The 23,008-nt window shown below is 46.1% G+C and overlaps 1 protein-coding gene and 1 long non-coding RNA gene across 19 annotated transcripts in view, besides 10 other annotated features; one reads left to right on the forward strand and one right to left on the reverse strand.

The window, feature by feature from the left end:
• Positions 1 to 790: 790 nt before the first annotated feature.
• Positions 791 to 6,561, reverse strand: SOCS2-AS1 (SOCS2 antisense RNA 1). Its single transcript, NR_038263.1, has 4 exons — positions 6,428 to 6,561; positions 2,227 to 2,322; positions 1,907 to 2,133; positions 791 to 907 (listed from the first exon to the last, which is right to left on the reverse strand). It is a non-coding gene; the product is annotated as an SOCS2 antisense RNA 1 (long non-coding RNA).
• Positions 5,132 to 23,008, forward strand: part of SOCS2 (suppressor of cytokine signaling 2) — a 56,268-nt gene continuing 38,391 nt past the window's right edge. Inside the window, exons 1-4 of one of the 18 annotated variants that reach the window (XM_017020147.2) lie at positions 5,132 to 5,361; positions 7,848 to 8,199; positions 9,885 to 10,336; positions 10,673 to 11,366. In XM_017020147.2, coding sequence (XP_016875636.1) covers positions 8,061 to 8,199; positions 9,885 to 10,336; positions 10,673 to 10,813 — 732 coding nt within the window. In that variant the 5' untranslated portion in view covers positions 5,132 to 5,361; positions 7,848 to 8,060 and the 3' untranslated portion in view covers positions 10,814 to 11,366. Of the gene's footprint in view, positions 5,362 to 5,551; positions 5,829 to 6,174; positions 7,539 to 7,837; positions 8,200 to 9,884; positions 11,909 to 14,565; positions 15,785 to 18,185; positions 21,452 to 23,008 lie in introns of those variants that run through there. The other 17 variants (XM_017020152.2, XM_017020148.3, XM_017020151.2 and 14 more) reach the window with 17 other exon arrangements.
• Positions 5,605 to 5,654: a silencer, noted in NCBI's record as "silent region_4711". NCBI's record gives its function as "represses an Ori minimal core promoter by ATAC-STARR-seq in GM12878 lymphoblastoid cells {active_cell/tissue: GM12878}" and the evidence as "EXISTENCE:reporter gene assay evidence [ECO:0000049][PMID:35858748]".
• Positions 5,715 to 5,904: a silencer, noted in NCBI's record as "silent region_4712". NCBI's record gives its function as "represses an Ori minimal core promoter by ATAC-STARR-seq in GM12878 lymphoblastoid cells {active_cell/tissue: GM12878}" and the evidence as "EXISTENCE:reporter gene assay evidence [ECO:0000049][PMID:35858748]".
• Positions 6,275 to 6,554: a silencer, noted in NCBI's record as "silent region_4713". NCBI's record gives its function as "represses an Ori minimal core promoter by ATAC-STARR-seq in GM12878 lymphoblastoid cells {active_cell/tissue: GM12878}" and the evidence as "EXISTENCE:reporter gene assay evidence [ECO:0000049][PMID:35858748]".
• Positions 6,915 to 6,964: a silencer, noted in NCBI's record as "silent region_4714". NCBI's record gives its function as "represses an Ori minimal core promoter by ATAC-STARR-seq in GM12878 lymphoblastoid cells {active_cell/tissue: GM12878}" and the evidence as "EXISTENCE:reporter gene assay evidence [ECO:0000049][PMID:35858748]".
• Positions 6,975 to 7,284: a silencer, noted in NCBI's record as "silent region_4715". NCBI's record gives its function as "represses an Ori minimal core promoter by ATAC-STARR-seq in GM12878 lymphoblastoid cells {active_cell/tissue: GM12878}" and the evidence as "EXISTENCE:reporter gene assay evidence [ECO:0000049][PMID:35858748]".
• Positions 8,502 to 8,641: an enhancer, noted in NCBI's record as "active region_6771". NCBI's record gives its function as "activates an Ori minimal core promoter by ATAC-STARR-seq in GM12878 lymphoblastoid cells {active_cell/tissue: GM12878}" and the evidence as "EXISTENCE:reporter gene assay evidence [ECO:0000049][PMID:35858748]".
• Positions 17,297 to 17,797: an enhancer, noted in NCBI's record as "H3K4me1 hESC enhancer chr12:93975910-93976410 (GRCh37/hg19 assembly coordinates)". NCBI's record gives its function as "activates a minimal SCP1, AML or CMV promoter by ChIP-STARR-seq in primed H9 embryonic stem cells {active_cell/tissue: H9 hESC(primed)}" and the evidence as "EXISTENCE:reporter gene assay evidence [ECO:0000049][PMID:30033119]".
• Positions 17,798 to 18,298: an enhancer, noted in NCBI's record as "H3K4me1 hESC enhancer chr12:93976411-93976911 (GRCh37/hg19 assembly coordinates)". NCBI's record gives its function as "activates a minimal SCP1, AML or CMV promoter by ChIP-STARR-seq in primed H9 embryonic stem cells {active_cell/tissue: H9 hESC(primed)}" and the evidence as "EXISTENCE:reporter gene assay evidence [ECO:0000049][PMID:30033119]".
• Positions 19,085 to 20,031: an enhancer, noted in NCBI's record as "OCT4-NANOG-H3K27ac-H3K4me1 hESC enhancer chr12:93977698-93978644 (GRCh37/hg19 assembly coordinates)". NCBI's record gives its function as "activates a minimal SCP1, AML or CMV promoter by ChIP-STARR-seq in primed H9 embryonic stem cells {active_cell/tissue: H9 hESC(primed)}" and the evidence as "EXISTENCE:reporter gene assay evidence [ECO:0000049][PMID:30033119]".
• Positions 20,032 to 20,977: an enhancer, noted in NCBI's record as "H3K27ac-H3K4me1 hESC enhancer chr12:93978645-93979590 (GRCh37/hg19 assembly coordinates)". NCBI's record gives its function as "activates a minimal SCP1, AML or CMV promoter by ChIP-STARR-seq in primed H9 embryonic stem cells {active_cell/tissue: H9 hESC(primed)}" and the evidence as "EXISTENCE:reporter gene assay evidence [ECO:0000049][PMID:30033119]".

The following is a 23,008-nucleotide window of genomic DNA, read 5'->3' on the forward strand; positions in this document are numbered from 1 at the left end:
GAAAGGCAGTAAACAAATAAATGAGTAACCATTATATGGTCAGAGAAGAGTAAAGTGTTAGGATAAAAAAATAAAGCAGGAGGAAGAAATGGTCACTGGTGGGGCTTCTATTTTACATAAAGTGGGGAGGGAAAGCCACTCAGAGCAAAGACATGAATGGAGTGAGGGAGCAGCGACATGGGACTACTGGGGAAAGAGCATTTCAAAGAGAACAACAGGTACAAAGGCCCTGAGGCAGGATTGTTGTGTTTGGGAAATAAGGAAGCCAGAAGGTTAGAGCACCATGGCTCTAACGAGTAAAATAGTGTCCTTCCCAGCACCAAAGTCTTATTGATTGATGATCCTCTGACTATACAAACCAATTCCAATAAAGAGAGTCCCAGCCAGGTGCAGTGGCTCACGCTTGTAATCCTAACACTTTGGGAAGCTGAGGTGGGAGGATCACTTGAGCGGGGGAGTTTGACACCAACCTGAGCAATAAAAGGAGATCCTGTCTCTACAAAAGTACAAAAATTAGCCAGGTGTTGTGGTGCACACCTGTGGTCCCAGCAACTAGGGAGGCTGAAGTGGGAAAACTGCTTGAGCCCAGGAGTTTGAGGTTGCAATGAGCCGAGATTGTGCCACTGCACCCCAGCCTGGGTGACAGAGACAGTGTCTCAAAATAAAAACAAACAAACAAACAAAAAAGAGTCCCATACAATGCTCAAGGCAGACTTTTATTTCTCAGGGTTATCTTAATAAAGACCTTCCACTCCCTTAGAACAAGTGTTCTCACCTGAGGTCAACAGACCCATGCGGATTTAGAGTGAGGTGTCAGGTTGTCAATCAAGCCCCCAAATCTGTGCATCTAGAACATTTTTCTGCAGAGAAAGTCTTAGGTGTAGCCTGCCAATAAATGCCTGCAGAGCTAGGTGGGAATATAGAAGAATGAAATACATCAGGTGTGAGAACCCAGTCTCTTAAACACAGAGGAATATTATTTTCTTCCACAGAGAAATATGCCTTCTCCCTTTTATTCTGACATATTCAGCCTTCTGGGTCTGTCTTTTATTTCGTCACTTCTGGTAGAGACTTGGGTCCAAATAAATATCTCTCCACCATAAGAAACAGTAATGCAAGGGTGATGACAAAAGGCAAGCAATGCTCAGTGTTGGGGAGACCTTGGGGCGGGTGAGGATTGGGCAAACGGGAGGGCACATGCCTTCTAAGGCAGGCACTCACTCCTCTGCTTCAGTTGATCACTGCCTTGAGGAAATGGGACCCAGTATTGACAGACCTTATGGCTGATTAAGAGAAAGCAGAAATCTGGTTCTCTTTGGAGATGAAATCTCAATTTAGTTCACATTTTCTTTAGAGAATCCTGGCATACCAACCAGAACACTCTGAGTGAGTCAAATATGGTCCCGATAGGCAGGTGGTTTGTGACCTCTGGTCTCTAGATTCTACCGGAATTTCTGATTGATTCATGTCTTAAATAAGATTGATGACTGCTGTCCTAGAACATGTTTCCCCTCCATTCTGTGGGCGGAAAGACAGACGGCATGGACATTTACCATGTTCTTGGGTCCCAGAAGTCCAGGAGAAAGCCATCTGCCTCACTGCTCCCTGCCCCATCCTGGGCCCAGAGCACTAATGCCAGTGGCATCAGCTCTGCTCCTCTCCCTCTTCCTTTGTCTACCAGTGAGTGTCCTCCATTATGGGGATGGAGCAAGCAGTATATTGTAAAAGGGACTTAGTGCTGAGAAGCACCAGAGGAAAAGTAGGAGATGCTCATTAAAGTGGAAGGCAGCTCTCTTCTTCCCCTTCTCAATTCTGCATTCTGCTCTCTCCCCTAAATGCCCCCCACCCAACCCCCAAACTCTTGAGAATGCCCAAATCCAACCAGGTCAGGAAAAAATAAACTCACTGGCTCCTGTATTGAGAAGTCCAAGTGTGGTGCGGCTTCCGGCATGTGGGATTCAAGCACTCAGGAATTTCTCCCTCTCACCCAACCTCAGCTCTGCTCTCTTCTCTGTTGCCTTTGTTCTTTGACAGGCTCCCTCCAAGTGGTGGAAAAGTTGACCTGTATGGTCATTATCACTCATCATTTCAGAAGGGGAGAGCCTGCTTCTCTTGTAGCATTTCCATCAAATCCTGAAAATAAAAATAATCTGGTTGGTTCTACTGGACTTGTGATACTGGACAAACCTCTATGTCCAAGAGCTCGAGTCATTCCCATTGGCTCACCTGGGCCACACACTCTTCGTTGAGTGCATCCCAGGATCACAGGGAGTCTTGAGGGTGCTGTGTGTGGTGGTGGTGGTGGTACGGAGATGGCAAACTCTAAAAGGAAGAGATGGTGGATACTTAAAGCCTACCTTCTGCCCACAGGTGTGTCAGACACAATCTCCAAAGGCCATCCTATTGTTACCCTATCCCCCAAACAAACACTGAAAAACTCTCCTGGCAATTTGGCAGTAGCTCAGTGTGGAGCATTTGTTAATTCCAGTACTAGAACGTCTGCATTGCAAAACCAGAAATGTCCAGTTCTGGTTTGGCACACAGAAGAGATTTTCAAGCCTTGGCAACTCCTCAGTGCAGGCAGTGGAGGAAATGCTCCAGCTTTGTGAAAATCTTCTCCCTTCGCTCCTCATGGAGAATAACCGTTCATCACTGCAGCCATGAATCTGCCACACTGAATAGATATGGTCTGAAAATCTAGGAACAAATGGAATCACTTTGGAAACCTGTAAATTTTAAAGCCGAAAGGGCGCTCCAGGGAACCAACTACATGAAGTTCTCTGGAAGCCACAGGATGGGAGGTTTGGTGGGGGTGGAGGTGACCATTGAATTTTACATAGGCAAATGTAAGACAATCTTATCCATAGACAGAAAAATCCAAACTCACCGAGAGTAAAAGGATGACAGTTGAAATAACAGCTAATTGTTATTAAGTATTTGCTAAGTTCCAAAGCACTTTTCATAGATTAGCTCAATTAATTCTCACAACAGCCCTGTAAGGTAGGGACCATGATCATCTCCAGAAGAGGCTAAATAAATTGCCAAAGATCACATATGTAGCAAGTGGTGGCAGAGTGAGGATTCATACCTGGACAGCTTAACTTTAAAGCCATGGTGCTAATGCATTCATTCATTCATCCATCCATTCATTCATCCATCCATTCATTCAATGATTATATTGGATGCCTACTACATGCTAAGAACTATGTTCAAGGTGCTGAACTACAGCTGTGAACAATGCAAGTACAAATACATGAAGCAGAGTTGGGGAGAAAGTAAGCTGGAGAAATAAGACATAAACTAGGTTAGATGGTGAACATGATTAAGGAAAAAACTAGAGCAGGGAGGAAAGAGAAATGTGCAGGGGGAAGGTCAATTCTGAGTGAGCCAACAGGCAAGGTCTCACTAAGAAAGCGGCATTAAATAAAGATTTGAGGAAGTGAGGGAGTAAACCTTGCAGCTATCTAAAAGGAGAGCATGAGAGGTAGAGGAGACAGCAAATACAAAGACCCTGAAGCAGGGGCAAGGCTAATGAGTTCTAGAATTAGCAAGGAGTCCAGTGTAACTTGAACAGAGTGATCAAAGAACAGAGCAGGAGGAAATGAGGTCAGAGAGGTAAACAGGCTGGAGTGCAGTGGCACCGTCTCGGCTCACTGCAACCTCCACCTCCCGGGTTCAAGCGATTCTCCTGCCTCAGTCTCCCTAGTAGCTGGGATTACAGGCATGCACCACCACACCCGGCTAATTTTTGTATTTTTAGTAAAGACGGTGTTTCACCATGTTGGCCAGGCTGGTCTTGAACTCCTGACCTCAAGTGATCCACCCGCCTCAACCTCCCAAAGTGCTGGGATTACAGGCGTGAGCCACCGCGCCCGGCCAGGATTCTTTTAATCAAGTATGATGCAGCCATCAGGGTTGGAGCATTCTAGGAAGAGGGAACAGCATGCACCAAGGCAACAGGAAAGCACATAAAAAAGGAGTTGCTGGAAGATTCATTTCAACCCACTATCAAGTAAATATTAAACTTACTGTATAAAAATGTTAGGGCCAGGAGGGGTGGCTCACGCCTGTAAACCCGGCACTTTGAGAGGCCGAGGCAGGAGGATCGGTTGAACCCAGGAGTTCGAGACCAGCCTGACCAACAGGGCGAAACCCCGTCTCTACTAAAAATACAAAAACTAGCCGGGCGTGGTGGTGGGCGCCTGTAATCCCAGCTTCTCGGGAGGCTGAGGCAGGAGAATTGCTTGAACCTGGGAGGCGGAGGTTGCAGTGAGCTGAGATCACGCCCTGCACTCCAGCCTGGGCGACAGAGGGAGACTTGGTCATGCTCCCTCCCCGCCCTCCGTCAGTTTTAGGAATAAATACCTTTTTATTTAAGCTAAAGTGTGGGTACACCCTTCCTCTAGGATTCTCCATCAAGGAATAAGAAGCCATATTAGGACAATTTAGAGGGCAGTTAACCCTAGTAGACATAGTGGTTCTTAAAAGGCTTGGGGCCTCAGACTGTACACAGGCTTCACATGGAATCTGATTTGTTCCTTTATCCCAGTCCCTCACCCAGAACCCGAATCTAGCCCTTCATGTTATAAAAAGGGCCAGAGGTCCAAAGAGGGTAAGTGCCTTGTGCAAAATTATTCAACTACTTTGTAGAGGATTTTAACTAGGGTTCAGTTAGCTCCGCCCACACTATAAAAGGCTCTTTCTAAAAAACGAAACATGATTAAGGGCACACGGCTCCAGCGTTAACAAAGCTCTTTGTTAGCTGGGAAATGCCCCCCTCCCCGACTCATCTGCTTATCATCTGCATAGAATTATGTACTCAAAAGCAGGAAAATTATTGAGAAAACCATTGGTCCCCGGCTGCAGACCCCAAGGTTGGGAGCTGGTTCCCGTTTCCTCCCAGAGCCGGCAGGGGGGGCACCAGGCAAAGTTTGCAAGACGCGCCTCCCTCCCACCCCTCCCCCTTCCTCGCCCAACTTCCCATAGCCGCGGCCTCAACTAAAAGTGGCCATTGACCTTTCAAGCTTTCGAGCAGTGATGCAATAGAATAGTATTTCAAAGAAAAATGCTTATCGAAATTTTGGATCCGGTTTTCCCGTGATTGTTAAGGGTTTCTTTTAAAAAGTAGGTCACATTTCAAGTAGGTCATATTTCGGGGGCGGGTGCGCAGACAAGGAGATGAGTTTCCACTAAGGCCAGGGGGCCTCCAACGGGGTTGGAGGTGAGAATCCCAGGTAGGGTAGAGGTGCCGAGATCCTTCCGAATCCCAGCCCTGGGGCGTCAGCCCTGCAGGGAATGGCAGAGACACTCTCCGGACTGAGGGAACCGAGGCCAGTCACCAAGCCCCTTCCGGGCGCGCAGGTAAGGGCGCCCCCTTAGCAGCCGGCGCAGGTGACCCGGGCGGGCCGCCGGGTCTACCGGAGACGTTGGAGCAGAGGGGAGGAGGAAGGGAGGAGCCGGGTGGGTGCGGGTGACAAGGAGCCGGAGCGCCAGGGGGAGGGGACTAAGGACGGCCGGCGCCGCTTAAGGAGGCGCTGCTCTCCCGCTCGCTGCCTTCCAGGACCTGATCAAGGGGACCGCCTCCGGTCCCCGGCCGTGGGCACCGGGACGAGCACGGCGTCCCCACGCCATCGATGTGTCTTAGAGCCGGAGAGTCTGGTTTCCGAGGACCCACAGTCGCTCCTGCACGCCCACCCCCCGCAAAAGTGCGGCCAGGAGGGTCGCATCGAGGGGGCGCCGCCGGGATGTTTAGAGGAACCCACCCCCGTGGCAGGCCAAGGGCCAAGGATCGCTATCCTTCCCTGAACCCGGGCGCTCAGCTGGCCCGGGTAGGGGGCAGGCTCCGGCCGCCGAAACGGGGTTGGCTGTAGCCGGTGGCCGGGGAGATCTCTAGCTTGCGCCCGAGCACCCCGGGGTGTGGGGCCAGAGGCAGGCCGACCCCGGCGTGCACACCGCCCGCCCTGCACCCGAGCGCTCTCACCCGGTCTTCCCTGAAGCCTGTGTATTGCGACCGAGCCTCTTTAAAGCAGTAGCGGGGCCCGCGGTCACGTGAGGCCGATTCCTGGAAAGTTCCTGGAAAGCCGCCTCCGCAGCAGCCGGGCGGGGCGCGAGCGGAGCGCTGACTGGGGAGGGAGGCGGGGAGCAAGGGAGGCGCGTCGGTCTGGGAAGTCGCGCGCACTCGCTGCTCCTGGGACCGACGTTTAACTCTTGCCAAGTCTCGTCGCAGCCGCCGCGGCTGGCGGGCCTTGGGCTTCCCCTGAAGCATGAGCCCTCTCGCCCGCAGCCACCCTCACCGCGTGGCCCGCGGACAGTGCGCGCCGGGGTCCCGGGTGCACAGCCTCAGGATACCCCGTGCCCGCAGCTCGGGCGCCCGCGGCAGGTACCGGTAGTGGGGGAAGCCCGAAGGCTCCGCCCCGAGGAGAGTTACCGGGGAGGGCGGCGAGGCGCGGCCGCGTGCGCCGGGGAGCGGCGGACGGCCTGGGCTTCCGCAGCTCGGAGCGCCGGGGAAGAGAGAGTCCGAACCGCGGCTCTGCCCCGCGGCCTAGCGTTGCTGCCTGCTTTCTCCAGCCCCTTCTCGGCGTCTGGAAGTGTCTGGAGTTTCTTTTTTTTATTTCCCCTAAACTGCCATTCAAATTAATAATCCTCCTAATAACCTGATCTCCCGCTCCTCCCCACCGGCCTGCCTCCCGCCCTCGCTCCTTCCTCCCTCCCTCCCTCTCTCCTTCCCACCTCCAGGGTCGCAGCCGGAGGGAAACCCGGCAGCAGTCCGAGAGTGGAGGTGTCCCAGCCCGTAGGGGGCGTCGCCGCGCGGTGGGGGATGGGGTCGAGGCAATGATCCTCGAGGCTTTTGTGTGCCCTCTGCGCACGGAACTCCGACCGCCGCCTCCGAGCGCGGGGCTGGTTGCATCCCCGGGCATCTCGTTCCCAAATTAAACGTTAACGGGGGAAACAAGGGCAGACGCCCCTCCTCTCCCGGGCCCCTCCCACCTCCCCTTTTCCCCCCACCCCCCCGCCCCATGTCCGCTGAGGAGGCTGCCTGGTGCGGAGGCGGCGGCGGCGGCCGCGGCCGAGGTCGAGGTAAGAGCGCGGCGTTGGTGGTTTGCATTTTCCGCAGCGCTCGCGACCGCCCGCTCGGCCCCGGCCTCGCCTCGGAGCCCCGCGAGGGCTGCGCGCTCGGGCCGATTCCTCGACAGCGCCCGCGGCGGCGAGAACCACCGCAGCCATCCTGGTCCGGGAGCGACCGCCGCGGCACCCCCAACCCCGCCAGAGCGGGCACCAGGAAGCGGGGGGAGGGGAGCGAGGAGCCTCCCGGGCGGAGATGCGGCAGCTCCCGCACCTCCGCACCCCGGGTTGGTGCCTCGGGGCCCCGCAGCGCTTTAGGGCGGAGAACCAAGTTTGTGTGGGTGCTTCTTCCTGGGGGCCCTCGGGCTGCGCCAGGTGTGAGACCGGAATGCCAATTTGGGGAATCTCTCCTGTTCTTTCCTTTTTAATTTTTTCTACTTGTCCTTGACAAGGGCCTATTCCCACTGGATCTGCAGGTGACTATTTGCTCTTCCTAGGTCGCCAGTCTTTGATTTCAGCTAGTGACCCTGGGCGGGAAGACACCCTGTTCACCCTCCTCCTGACCTCCGCCCCCCACCTCTTCAGCCAACTTTATCTTGGATCTCTGCTCTCTTTATCTTTTCTCTAGAGCTGGGCCAGGGCGCTAACTGGAAGCTTGGGGTTAAATGGTGCAGGAACGTAGAGGCGGAGGAGTCCCTGGGATTTTCCACGTCTATTTCCCCACCCCCACCCCAGCCGCAGGGGTCCAGTTTGGACTGACCCAACCTCCCGCTTTCTCTTTGTAGGCGATCAGTGGGTGACCGCGGCTGCGAGGGACTTTGTCATCCGTCCTCCAGGATCTGGGGAGAAAGAGCCCCATCCCTTCTCTCTCTGCCACCATTTCGGACACCCCGCAGGGACTCGTTTTGGGATTCGCACTGACTTCAAGGAAGGACGCGAACCCTTCTCTGACCCCAGCTCGGGCGGCCACCTGTCTTTGCCGCGGTGACCCTTCTCTCATGACCCTGCGGTGCCTTGAGCCCTCCGGGAATGGCGGGGAAGGGACGCGGAGCCAGTGGGGGACCGCGGGGTCGGCGGAGGAGCCATCCCCGCAGGCGGCGCGTCTGGCGAAGGCCCTGCGGGAGCTCGGTCAGACAGGTAGGGAGCCGATCGGCCGCGACGCGTGCGGGAGGGAGCGCCTCCCCAAGGAAGCAGCTAGGAAGCGGGGTCGAGGTGGGAAGCAAAGAATAAGATGGAAATACGTCCCTTGCTTCCAAGGGACCGCGGAGAGCACGCTCGCAGGGTCCTGGGTCCTTGGGAATGCGTAAGGAAAGTGGTTCTCCAGGGACTCAGGCCTGGCGGAGCGCAGAGCGCGGGAAGAGCTTCTTGGAAATAGCTTCTTAGCACGCTGGAAGATTTACTGTTTTCCGCAGCTGCTCAGGGTTAGGCTCCCGGGCTCGAACCCCGGCCGGGGAAAGCGTCGGGCGCCTCCCTTTGCACGGGGTGCAATCAGCAAGTCGGTGCCGCGGGCCCCGCAGGCCCAGCAGCATCTGGCTCCCGGGCGGAGCTGCGGCTGCAGCCCAGGATCTTGGCGGCCAAGTTCAGGGACTGACACTGCCGCGAGGGCGGCTGCCCGGGCGTCGAGAGTAGGCTGCGAAGCCCCCGCCGAGCGCGGCTTCCATGGTCGGCGCGCCCAGGGTACTGCCGCTTTCAAGTACAGTCAGGCAATTCGCGCGGCACGCTGTCTCTAGGCATCTGAAAAAAGAAAAAAGAAAAAAAGTAAAGTATCTGGCAAATCATTCTGGCTTTCCAAATCCGTATCCTAAAAGCTTACAGTTGTGGCACAGTTGAAATTTTGGTAGCAACAGGGGGAGGGAGAGGGAAAAGTTCTCTCGCTTGCGATTCCGGTCTTTCCGTGTGGGCCACGGGCTTTCCCTCCCGGGGAGGCACCGGCAGATTGCAAGTATCCCGGTAATTGTGGGGGTGGGGGGAGCACAAATGTTCAGACTTCTTAAATACGGACGGTCTCTGAGCCTTCTTAGAAAGCAGAGTGGGCCGGGGAGATGGTGCAGGCAGATGAAATCAAGAATGCAGGGGAGATGGATGGTTGTGATTGGGTTTGGATTAGGGCAAAGTTCAAAAGAGTTTAGGGAAGATTGTAAACTTGAAGTAGTAATTATCACTTGGGAATTCCCATTTCTTAGTGACTGGTAAGGTAGTCATAAAGCAGCGAACAGAAGCTATTGTACTAGAGCTGTGCTTTTACAACAAGTACATAGCAGTGCTTTCTACATAGAAGGCTGTTCATAGCAGGCTTTGCAGATTCTTTTTTTTTTTTTTTTTTTTTTTTTGGTGGGGGGCACACCAACCATCCAAAAAAGTTGCTTCTGTTTTTACTGTAGTTCAATTACAGGAGTTGGGTTTTCCACTTTTTAAAGGGCATGGCTTTTATTTCTAACTTCTGATTTTTTTCTAATTTACCTAAATCTTTATTTTACTTAAATAATGTTAAAAGTGTCATGCTTCATCAGCCAGTGTGTCATGCTGCAGATGTTCTTTTGGTTCATTAGAAGAAAATCTTAAGAAGAGCTTCAGAAAGTTGATTTTTTAAAAAAGAAAGAAAACTGGCTCGCCGTTTGTGTTCATAAAATGGACCCAAATTTTTATTAAATTCCTACTGAAAGTATTTGTGGTGGCCCGGTAAACTTTCGCTCACACACCACCTTTTTTTTTTTTCTTTTTTAGAGCTAAAAAAATTATTGCCAATTACTTGCTCTGTTCTAAGAATTCTTATAATAACTGTTTTACCCTCTTTTCTTTTTCTTTTTGAACAAAAACCCCAGGATGGTACTGGGGAAGTATGACTGTTAATGAAGCCAAAGAGAAATTAAAAGAGGCACCAGAAGGAACTTTCTTGATTAGAGATAGCTCGCATTCAGACTACCTACTAACAATATCTGTTAAAACATCAGCTGGACCAACTAATCTTCGAATCGAATACCAAGACGGAAAATTCAGATTGGACTCTATCATATGTGTCAAATCCAAGCTTAAACAATTTGACAGTGTGGTTCATCTGATCGACTACTATGTTCAGATGTGCAAGGATAAGCGGACAGGTCCAGAAGCCCCCCGGAACGGCACTGTTCACCTTTATCTGACCAAACCGCTCTACACGTCAGCACCATCTCTGCAGCATCTCTGTAGGCTCACCATTAACAAATGTACCGGTGCCATCTGGGGACTGCCTTTACCAACAAGACTAAAAGATTACTTGGAAGAATATAAATTCCAGGTATAAATGTTTCTCTTTTTTTAAACATGTCTCACATAGAGTATCTCCGAATGCAGCTATGTAAAAGAGAACCAAAACTTGAGTGCTCTGGATAACTATATGGAATGCTTTCTAAGAACAGCTGAAGCTAATCTAATTTAAATTTAACAGCTTGAAGAGGTAGCTAGGTGTTTAAAGTTCCTCCAGATACTTTTACCTGAGTGATGCTTCCCTTCCTAAGGCTGACCAAGACCTGTTGATCCTTTTAGATTAAAAATAAAATGTCGCATGTAAAGGCTGAAGTCGCGTTTTATCAGAATGCCTTGCCTTCTTAGGTTCTTTTCCATTATGTCAAAGGTCCAGGCTCCAGTAGGAGAGAAAGAACTCCTCATAGGAATACTGAAGAAGTGGGAAGGAACCAAGCTGACACAGGCCTCACTGCAATTTGATATGCCTGCTGATCAGAGTCTCTTGGGCATTTTATATTTTGCATTCTGATGTACCTAGGAGTTTTGTTAAACAGATGATGTATGTGAGTATTTATCCCATTTTATGCAATTAACCAAATCAACCAAAAAAAGTGACCATGAAGTCCTGTATTTGTCTTTTTACTACATGTAGGAACTCTCATGTGAATGAGTACTGTAGTAATCCATTCTATGGGAGCCTTATTTCAGAAATATTTCAAACTGGTGCAAATGGAAAAGACTTTCTCTTTTCCTTTAAAGCTAAAGACAAGAATATCATGCTATACAGGTGCAACTCAATCCCCGTTAATAAAAACCAATGTAGGTATAGGCATTCTACCCTTTGAAATAGCTGTGTCCCAACCTGTTGCCATTGATTTTTTGGAAATGGCTTTAGAAATATCCAAGTTGTCCTTGAATTGTCTAACCATGGACATAAACAGTTGTCTCCCTTCTACTGTGTAGAATACTTTGACTTAATTTTCTTCCAGATACAGGGGGATACCTGCCTGTTTTTCAAAGTGTTTATTTACTGCTGTTACTATTTGATTAGAATGTATTAAATAAAAAAAACCTGATTTCTACAAGTTGCACTTATTGAGTTCTAGAGAACGTACACTTTCATGGTAATAGAGGATTGCCATAAAAACTTACGTCAAGTGAAATAAGCCAATTATTCAACAAAAGGTAGAACATTACTTGCCATTCTGTAAAGTTATGGGCTGTACCTGCCCCCTTTGCAATTTGGAAAGCATGGTTTAGAAACTACAGGCATTGTCAAGTGGCCGGGTCTTTTATAATTTGAATAGGCATAACACTGATGTCCTCTGTGTTTCCAAAAACATGGTTTAGAAACTACAAACATTATGACATGGCCAGTCTTTTACAAGTTGAGTAGGCATAATACTAAAGAAAAATACAAAGTTTTGTGGCCACTTATTTTTTGCTATGTTAGTCTGCATAACTGTTATAAATGTACCATCTTTTCTAGAGTCCAGACATTATTTATTTTATGGCTTTAAAATTTTCCTGCATAGCTACAATCCTGTGGTGTGTCACCATAAAGGTGGACCCTGTGTGAATGAGAAAATTCAGTTATAAATTGTAATAAAACCTGCTTACTGGATATCTTACCTTATTTTCATGAAGAAGTTGAAAAATGGTTTTGTGCCTGGCAGGAAACATACTATGTATATCCAAACAGCAGAGCCAAACACAAAAGATTGCTAGGTGTGCCTCAGGAAGAGTTTACTTGTGGCCTAAAACTTCAAGAAAAGCTAGACATTTGGGGTCGGATCTATGATGGGGCCATAACCATTTGATGAGGATGCTTAGAATCTGTGCTTCATTCACCGTTTTTCTCCCACTGACAACACCTGTTTAGTGTTGGATGTTTGATTTTTCTGGCAAAACTTCTATATGATCAGTGCCAAGGGGCTTTGTGGAATTTCTTTAAAGGTCTTTTGCCTTTCTATTGTCACTGTTTTGAACACTCTATTTCTCAGTTACTGGGAGTGGGGAGGCAGTTGTGAGGCATGAGTACCTGTGAAATTGGAAAAAGTTCTGAGTTACTGCTCGCAAGTGACTAATTATGAGAAGGCTGGAGGACAGCACAAACATCTCTGGAGTGTGCCATGAAACCTATTGCCTTATATTTCAATCTTCCATATTGCAAGTAGGTTGATAAACATCAGGAGGCAATTATTTTTGGTTTTGTTTTGTTTTTTTACGATGACTGACATCATTTATTTATTGAGTTTATTGTGAACCAGGTTCTCACTCAGCACTTGTATTATCTCATTTAATTTTCCCAAGAACGAAATGAGCAAAGTACAATGATGATAGGAGGTTCCCCTCCTGATTTGTGAGTCAAGAGGCATTCCAGGAATATCCTAGCTCTTTTTTTTTTTTTTTTCCCCCGGGAGAGGAATTGGGAAGAGCAAATTGCTGCTGAAAATTTCTACATTGATCCAGACAAACAAGTTAGAGCAGGCTGAAAAAGAACCCTTGGTGTTTTTACTGCTGTTCAACCAGATCAACTGGAAAAGTATAGATACCTTAATTAGCACTGTGCTCTGTGGGATTCTGGTCAGCCTGGCCCAGTGGTTTTTTTCCCCTGAACACGCCTGAAAGGGGAGCTCATAATGACTGCTGTGCAGGTGGGCGGGGAGGGGGCTTCCTATTTGATTTAGTGGCTGATCAATGCCAGTTACCAATTATTGGTAGCCCCATTTATACATGGTGGAAAAAAAGTACACTTGTCTAAATTATCCTCACCAAAGCCTGGAAGAATATCCAGTGTTTTCTCCCAATGTAGGGCAATTTAGGGCATTTGTGAGGATATTTATTATTGTTGTTGTTGAAGAATATGGTATACAAGACTTATATATCCCCAAACTCTGAAAATATTTTGACCTCAGTTTCTGTTCTGGGCAGAGATGAGGCAGTGCAGTTTTTCATGACCATTACAGTGAGCAGTGGTGATTGCTTTTTAGGGACTTGGAGATTTTTTGGAACTTTGGATAGTGGAGAAAAAGGCAGTTCAGCTTATGAGATGAGAGGTCTTTTTTGGTGTGTCAGTAAGAAAGTCTTGACTTCATAATAATTATGTAATCCAAATAGGTAACAGAATGGGACAGTTGTTTGGGAGTGTTTATTTTCTTGGGAAGGATTTTCTCTGCTTTTAGAAAATTGTACCCTGTTAGGAGGGTAGGAGACAGAGACGTCATCTTCGTCAAGTAATCCAAAGGATGGAATGTCCTGAGACCAGGCTATGCCCTTCTCAGTTGTGAGTTTAGGCACGGGGTAGGTGGGGTTTGAGTGGCTGTGGTTATGTCTAACAGCTGGGCTGAAGTCTCCGTCTTTAAGTCGTCCTTTCTATCCTTTAGAGCAAAACAATGTTCTTGTAGGCCTTTCATTTACTTAAGAGGTCTTCTGTATTCTCCTTTCCCAGTTTTTTTAACTTCTTAGAATTTTAAAGCTTGAAACCACTTTTTAGATCACATATTATGGATTTTATGGAAGACTTTCAGATCCAGAGGGGCTGGGAGATTTGCATGCTCGCACACACACACACACACACACACACACACAGGCACACAACCCAGCCAATCAATGACAGAGTCAGGATTCAAACGCAGATATTTTAGTCTTAGGATTACTATTTGTAAAAGTTGCACGCTCCTACCCTTTGATAAAATTGCCGAGACTCTTCTTTGCTTTCCTGCAAGTCCTACAGTTCTCTTAACATCATATATTTCTTCCGCTGGGATTCAGAAGCCAGGCCTGTGGAATACCCTGTGGGATAATTACAGTTCTTGGCCTCCTCTACCCGATTCTGAAAAATCTGCCTCTGCTGGATTTCATGATGTCTTGATCCACATTAGTTTTTTGTTGATTTTAACTCCTTAACATTTCTAATCTGTTTGCTGTTTTAAAATCCAAAACCTCCCATCCATGCTGTTTGATGATCTCATTTCTACCTCCACCAGATGTGACACACACCCAGCCACAATGCCTGGGCGACTGCCCGCCCTCCCATCCTTACCAGCAGGACCCATTCTTGCTTTTGCCCATTCATGGGCATAAGGGATAGTTAATTCCTGCCTTACTTTCTCCCTTTCCTATCATAAAGTTGCCCTCTTGACTTATCTAACACAGCCTTTCTGGCCGCATGATACTCCAGTGAAAGAGGATAATTATACTCTCCTTGAGTTGGGTAATTGAATGATTTGGACTACCTTAAGATTAAATCTCTTTGTATCTCTTTTTGGTTCCATTCAGGTTGTGAAGCAAGTAACCAGCCCCAGATGCCACACTTTTGTTATGGGCATTTTTTTTTTAAATCTACTTATTTTTTAAGTATGGCAGGCTCCTTTTTCAGTGTTAAGTTAACCTTCATTTGCACGGAATAAAAATGCCCTCCATTCCTTTGCTTCTGCTGCTGTATGTCTGTAAGTAAGAACGATTCTGTGAGAGTTTTGTTTCATTTCTTCATATGCATGGTTCTTATATTCTCATCTTCACATATTTTTGATTTTTCTAACTTTTCCTCTGTGTGGCTTGAGTTCAGGTGACTATTACTATGGTAATAAAGGTAACAAGTGTTGTTAGAGTGGCCTCTAAAAGTCCTGGAGTCCCCAGTGTCTGAAGTCATGGAGCAGAGCTGGCTTTTCCTATCTACCCCTTCCTGAGCTTTGTCAGCAAAGGAGGCTGGATCAGCTAAGTGTGCCACAGAGAATAGGACTTACTTCAATAAACATGCATTTGTAAAGATAAAACTAACTGCTTTTACAGACAACTCTCACTTTGACCCACATCCTTAACTTATAGGCATTCTGACTTGCCCTAGATCAGAAGTGCATTTTGTGATGTATTATTCACGTGGCTTTGCCTCTCTTAGAGAAAGGCTTGCCAGAGTCCTAGTGAGAGAAAAGGAAATATCGCCAGCTGCCTTCTTCTCCTGTCTCAGCATAAATGCCACCCAAGGAGCCCCCTTGCCATGGTGGGGTGAGACTTTTTCGCCAGTTAAACCATCACACAACTTCATAAAATTTTCCTACATCTCCCCAGTTTCCGGTTTCCTACAGTGTTAAAGATAAAAATTTGTTTGTTTTTGCTAAGCATTTTTTCCCTTCTGTTAGTTTGGTATCCTTTTTCCTGTTTAGTGTTTGGTCCAGAATGCTGCTGTGATCTTTAACATTCAGAAAAAATCCATGTTAGCCAGGCACAGTGGCTCATGCCTGCAATCCCAGCACTTTGGGAGGCCAAGGTGGACGGATCACTTGAGGTCAGGAGTTCGAGCCAGCCTGGCCAACATGGCGAAACCACATCTCTACTAAAAATACAAAAATTAGCCAGGTGTGGTGGCGCACACCTATAGTCCCAGCTACTTGGGAGGCTGAGGCAGGAGAATTGCTTGAACCTGGGATGCAGAGGTTGCTGTGAGCGGCAATCTTACCACTGCACTCCAGCCTGGGCAACAGAGTGAGACTGTCTCAAAAAAAAAAAAAAAAAAAAAAGAAAAGGAAAAGAAAAAGAGGCCATGTTATTTCTACCCAGAGAAAGTTGTTTGACTTCCCATTTTAACATTCCCCCTTGCCATCTTGATGAACTTGACCCATCTTAGGTTTCCAGCATAGCTTGTTTCTCTTCATTTTTATTTCTAGGTTGTGGCCATCAATTCTGTATTTGGTCAGAAAGTGTCTTTGTATTTTGCATATTGGATTAGAGCATCTGCTCTTAATTATCTGTAGGAATAAGAGGCAGAGAGACTGGGGAATAGTAGAAGCCCATAAACACATCTAGCCAATAGTTTCAACTTCCTCCCCATTCTGTCTCCTTTGCTAGAACCACTGACAGAAAAATCAGCTGCTTCTCTGTTCTCTCATTTTATTTTCCTTGTCCATCATGTGATAGGGATGTTAATATGCAACAAACTGGCTAAAAAAATATCAAGAGAGAAAAGTAAGGGAGATGGAGCATCAGTAGTGTGTGGAGGCTCCTGAGAGTCAATTACTAAAAACTGAGAGATTTTGTGAGCTCAATCATTATGCATAAATTATTGATAGATTGAATCAGCCATGGTGGGAGTATTACACCACAGAAATAGGCAGATGCTATAAATTAAGACTCTCCGCCACCAGATAGCTGATTTAACAACATAGCACTGATCTAGGTATTATGTCCTCCTCAATAATTGAGACCTCATTAGGGTAAGATCAGTTTATTTGTAGCCTCTTTTATACCAAGCCCAGTGCTTAGAGCAGAATAGGAGTGAACAATTCAAGGAATGATTTTTTTTTTTTTTAATGTGTGTCAATCTTATATTGGGTTACATTGTCTTCTACTATGGATCAGGCCATCTCCTGATTCTGTGTCTTTTTCTAGTTACTCTGGGGTATCTGTAGCTACCTTTTCAATTTCTTAGTAGGAAGGTGTTAGGCAATCTCAACATCATGTGATCATTGTTTACAACAACTCAGCTCTAATAGATCAGGGCCTCTTTTTTCCTTCTAGCTTCGTTCATTTATCTCATTAGTTTTCTCTTTTTTTTTCTTCCTCCCTCCCTTCTCACCTGCTTTCTCCCTCCTTCTCTCCTTTCTGCCAACGTTTATTGAATGTCTACTGTATTACTCAACAGTAGGAAGTGTTCTTTCATTGAGGGAGCTCTTACAGACCATGAGAAAGGATGGAGAGGATGGGGACTAACATTTATTAAACAGTCTAATATATCCCATTACCCTGCTTAGCCATTGCATTTCATCTTCACAACAACCTGATGAGGTATGTATGACCCTCATTTATTCCAAATGAAACAGAAACTTAGGTCAAATATCCTGCCCAGTCAAGTAGGGAAGTCATGAATCAAACCCAGGTTCTGCATCTCAGGATACCATATTGTATAGGAGCTGTAATTACATGAATAACTTATTGTAAAATGCATTGTTAAAGGCAGTGTAGTTACTTTGCGGACAGGGTGCCATTGACCTGCTTTGAGGGTTTATGAAGACAAGCCCCCAGAGGAAGGTATCTTGTGTCTGAGTGTTAATAGACTGGAAGGAGTCCTCAGACCTGCTGAGTGGGGAAGATCTTTTGGCTGAAAGGTTGAAGAAGAGGGTAGAGATGAGGCTTCTGGGAGGTGCTGTCTGAGGGTGACTTGGGGCAGATCTTGCAGGCCTGGCTGAAAACCTTGGAATTTATCCTGAGGGCAGTAGGGAGCAGATGTCAGCTTTTTAAATGGAGGGGAAAACAACAGAACTAAGTTTGTGTTTTATATCATCCCTCTGGAGGTCCTTTGGAAAAATGGCTTGGAACAAAGCAAGGGCGGAGAGAGGGAGACCGGTTAAGTGTTAGGTAGGAGGGAGGTAGTCCTTGTGAGAAGATTGGAGAGAGAGTCAGAGGTTGACTCTTTCCTTCCTTGGCTGCAGGCTCAGATTTGCCCTGGAGTATGCGGCTTTGAGTCACACAGATTGCACGCTTCCCTTTGAGGAGCGGCTTCCACTTTGGGCAAGTTGGGGTAACTGGCACAGATTCTCTTCTCAGGAAAGCAAGAGGTCGCGGTGCAGCGGGCACAACCCTGAACTAGGAATTGGAAAACTTGGGGTCCACTCTGGTTCTCTGACCTTGGGCCAAACATTGAATCTCTGTTATCTGTAAATTGAAGAGCCTGGAGCCTTCAGGATTTTTGGTCCCTTCCAAGGAGGTCCCATCTGCCCAGATGTGATAGTACATTGGGGTGAGAGTGCTCAGAGGAGAGGCAGGCTCCACCTATCAGTGGAGTCTCAGTTTCTACGTAGATTGTAGTACAGATTTTACCTCTATGCTATAATATATTCTCATTTATTTTGAAAATATACTTCCTTCTTAACTCTGGGTTTTGTTTTTTTTTTTTTTTTTCACAGCCAGCTGTTTTTTATCCTGGTTAGAAGAATTTTGTGTTTTCTTTTAGCTATGGATCTTTGAACATTACCCTATGATCGAAGAGTTTTGAGTTGGGTTTTTAGATGTTGGTTGTCATGGAGAAACAGGAATCTGGTGTATGCCAGCCATCATCATCATCATCATAACCCTTTGGATGAATTTTCATTATCAAGGGATCTGGAAGGCTGTCTTCGCTCTGCTTCCCAGCTAACAAACAGATGTGTTCCCAGAAGATGATGGGCATAGGGTGTGTTTTTGCAAGTCATTTTTCCCATTTACGTAGATTATTCTTATTTCCAATTGATCCTCAATAGATAAGAGTGCCATTGAGCTTTATTTTCATCTGTCAGGCAATTAAGAAAAAAGTAAAGGAAACAAAAAAGCTATAATATACTAAGGAAATTCTTAGATTCTTTGGTAAAATTAAAAGAATCTTGGTGCATGAATGATCCGGCCCTAATCTATCCATCTTGCACATTTGGGTTTTCCTGGATCTCTCTTAAAGTGGGGCACATCTCTGGTCTTGATAGTCAAGGAGGAGGGTTGGGGTAATCAGATGTCTCAAGCAGAGGTGCATCATTGAGCCTGGGTAATGGCTGAAAGTCCCCCAGATATCCAGTTTGAAGCTGCGTTGGGCAGGCCATGGGTTTTATTACGTCCAAGGCGTGACAGGCAACCATTCTATAACAGACCAACTCTTGGGCTTCCAGAAGACTGAAAAAAGCTAGAACATTTACTAATGCCAGGTGTTGCATTTGACACTTTACAAGTATAACCTCACTGAAAGTTCCCCACAAACATCTGAAGTAGATTCTGCTTTTATCTCCACTTCAGAGACAAGGAGATTGACACTTACACAGATTAAATGATTTAATAGTGTCGAAAGACAAAATCACAACAATTTCTCTTAAAGATCTTAATTACCTTTATTTGCAATTCCAGAATTGGGTAACACTTCATTCCATAAAATAGAGTAAGTGTTCCAATTAGCTAAGCAGAAGAGGTTGGTTTTACAGCCAGAGAGGAGTAGAAGAAAGCAAAAAACAGAACCCAGAGTGGATTGGTCCTTTCAAAGTTAAGTTCCTTGTAAGGTGGGGACAGGGAGACAGAACAATAGAAAAGTAACTGATTGGTTAACATCAGGTTACTCCAGGTTACTTTTTTGTAAGGATTACAGTAGAGGGAACTTAATTATCATGCTGATTGAAACTAGCCTGCTTGGGAAATTAGGCTGTTACCTCTCTCCCGATTTCTCAGAGGGTCAGATAACAACCTATTTTCAGTTTGGTAAAAATCTCAGCTTGAGTGACTCCATTTTGATTAAATTAGATTTTTGGGGTCTAGTGCAAGACCTTAGTCCAAAACAATGACTTTCTATAATTTTTATTTAACAGGAGGGAAACTTGAGATTTGAATTCAAGCCACTCTGACTCAAAAGCCATGGTTTTCTCACTCTTTTGTTCATTTTCTCAATAAGCTTGCAAATGCTTTTAACCTCTGATGCCTGCAGCCAGCATGTACCTCAATATTGTCTGCTAGTCACATGTAGGTAATATTTCATCATGTGGTTAATACTAAGAGGGCTATGACCTCTTAATAATGATGCATCTTAATAATGATGCTATTATTGGGACTTTGATTTCAGAAGTAATGCAAGATCTGCCTAAATCCTAATTATCCAGCTTGGAAGAGTCCCTGACATCTGAATTTACACCTTTTCTTCCCTTCTTTTTTTTTTGAGACGGAGTTTCGCTTTTGTTGCCTAGGCTGGAGTGCAATGGCATGATCTCAGCTCACTGCAACCTCTGCCTCCCAGGTTCAAGTGATTCTCTCGCCTCAGCCTCCCGAGTAGCTGGGATTACAGGTGCCTGCCACCATGCCCAACTAATTTTTGTATTTTTTGTAGAGACAGCGTTTCACCATGTTGGCCAGGCTAGTCTCAAACTCCTGACCTCAGGTGATTCACCTGTCTCGGCCTCCCAAAGTGCTGGGATTACAGGTGTGAGCCATCACGCCTGGCCATTCCTCCCTTCTTTTAATCTCCTTTAGGTGTCTATCCAGTGCAACCATAACCCACAAGCTCTTCCCTATCACTCCTTTCCTTTCTCTGGAGGTAAATTTTATAAATGATGTGTCCATCATAATAGCCATTTTACGTTGCAGAACAAACAACCCCAAACTCTCGGTGGCTTAAAACAATAAAGATTTCTACATCTATACACATCTGTCATAATCACCAGGGAGGCTCTTTTAGCCACTCAGAACCAGGCTGATGAAGCAGCTGCAGCACCTCCTCAAACAGCTGGTCTGAGGTGCTGAGCTGATGGGCAAGGAGAATCAGAGGATCTCTTAGTGGTGTTTAAATGCCCTGTCACTTCTGCTCCTGACAGATTGGCCAGAACTCTGTAAAATAGTGCCACCCAACCATAAGGGGGCCAGGAAGCACAGTTCTCCCCTGTGCCAAGAAGGAGAGAAACAGAAATGTTTGGTGAGCGGCATGGTGTAACCACCACATATACCATGCCATATATATCCTGCTTCCTTCTTTTTTTCTGCCTAGCTTGGCAAATCTGACTTCACGTAAACTTTATAGAACATGTATAGCCTCTTTAATTCCATTTCTCTTTCGCCTTTGTCTTCCAAAAGTTTTTCAGGTACTGCAAAACAGTGTCTCTCCTTCGTGTAAGCCAAAAGGAAAGATCTCAAGCCTTGAAGTGAAATATACATAATTCATCCCTCAGTATCTTCAGGGATTGATCCCAGGACTCCCGCCCCTGCCCCCTCAAAAGCCCTGCCAAGGATACCAAAATCTGAAGATGCTTAAATCTCTTATATGAAACGGTATAGTATTTGCATATAACCGGCATACACCCTCACATATACCTTAAATCATCTCTAAATTACTTAATAATACCTGATACATGTAAATACTATGTAAATAGTTGTTATACTATATTTTAAAGGTTTGTATTATTTATTAGTATTGTATTGTTATTTTTTATTGCTTTTTTTTCCCTCCCCCAAATATTTTCGTTCTGTGGTTGGTTGGATCCGTGGATGGGAAACCCACGGGTACAGAGGACTGACCATATTAAAGAGTTAGGGCTACTAACCTCAAAAAGTTTCTGAATGACCGGAAGTTCTTCTGATCTTCACAAACATCTCTTGGGTTTTCTCACTTGCTAAAATTAAATCTGTCTTTTCTCCAGTGTCAATATTCAAGATAAATAAATTATGTTCACATTCACTCCTATTGTTTACTGTTTTGCTTAATTGGCTATATTTCAATAATATTAAATGGTATTATTTTCTACCAGTTTTTAATCAGACTTGAAGCTTTTCAGGCACATTAGAGAGTAAATGGACTTTTGTGTGATAAATTGGGTACCTAATCACCAATTTTAATTTACTTCTGAGGAAAATTCTATTGTAAATTCCAGACAACTGGTTTGCAAACCCTGCTTTAGAATGCAACCTCTTTCTAGGATGAGGCCTTTTTCTGTAGCAAATTTCTGTATAACGAAAATACCAGAATAAATGCTGGGTTTTAATGGACAGTTATGCTCTACTACATTCATGAAAAATGTACTTAATTTACAACTCTACTGAACACAATTCAGTTTTTTCCTTCGTTCAGTTTTTTTTCATTTCAGTTTTTCTACTCTAACCCAGATTGAAACTTTGCATTATCTTTAACTTCTCTGTCTTTATATTTATTTCCTTCATTTAGTTATTCATTTTTTCAATCATTCATTCACTCACTCATTCAATAAATATTTACTGAGCATCTACTTGTTGTAGTCATGAAGCAAGGTTCTGAGGAATGTTAAAAAACACAGTCCCTGGCCGGGCACAGTGGCTCACACCTGTAATCCCAGCACTTTGGGAGGCCGACACGGGTGGATCACTTGAGGCCAGGAGTTCAAGACCAGCCTGGCCAACATGGCAAAACCCTGTTTCTACTAAAATTACAAAAATTCGCCAGGTGTGATGGCGTGTGCCTGTAGTCTCAGCTACTCTGGAGGCTGAGGCACGAGAATCACTTGAACCCGGGAGGCAGAGGTTGCAGTGTGCTGAGATGGCACCACTGCACTCCTGCCTGGGTGACAGAGTGAGACTGTCTTAAAGAAAAAACAAAAACAAAAAACATAGTCCCCGACCTCAAGGAGATTCTGTATAGCAGAGAAACACACAAGCCAGCATGCCATGATACATGGTACAATAAGATAATGGCTGCAACGGAGGTCTCTGCAAAGAGCAGCTGAGCAGAGAAGACCTATCTGGATCTGTTTGAAGGAGTCAAGAAAGAAATCAGAAAGGAGGCAGCTTTTCATCTGAGACTTAAAAAATCAGTTGGTGGCTGGGCGCAGTGGCTCACGCCTGTAATCCTAGCACTTTGGGAGGCAGAGGTGGGCAGATCACGAGGTCAGGAGATCGAGACCATCCTGGCTAACACAGTGAAACCCCGTCTCTACTAAAAATACAAAAAAGTAGCCGGGCGTGGTGGCACGCGCCTGTAGTCCCAGCTACTTGGGAGGCTGAGGCAGGAGAATCGCTTGAACCTGGGAGGCAGAGGTTGCAGTGAGCTGAGATTGTGCCACTGCACTGCAGCCTGGGTGACAGAGCGAGACTCTGTCTAAAAAAAAAAAAAAAAAAAAGTTTGGCTAGGCCAAAGAGCCAGGCAAGGCAGTTCCAAGTAGAGCAGACCACACGAAGGTGTGAGAGAACACAGTTTGTTCCCATAAGTTCTACCACTGTGGGTGGAGCTTCAAATGCAAAAGAGGAAACCAACTAGGAGATAACC

This window comes from Homo sapiens, chromosome 12, assembly GCF_000001405.40.
Source record: "Homo sapiens chromosome 12, GRCh38.p14 Primary Assembly".
NCBI lineage: Eukaryota > Metazoa > Chordata > Mammalia > Primates > Hominidae > Homo > Homo sapiens.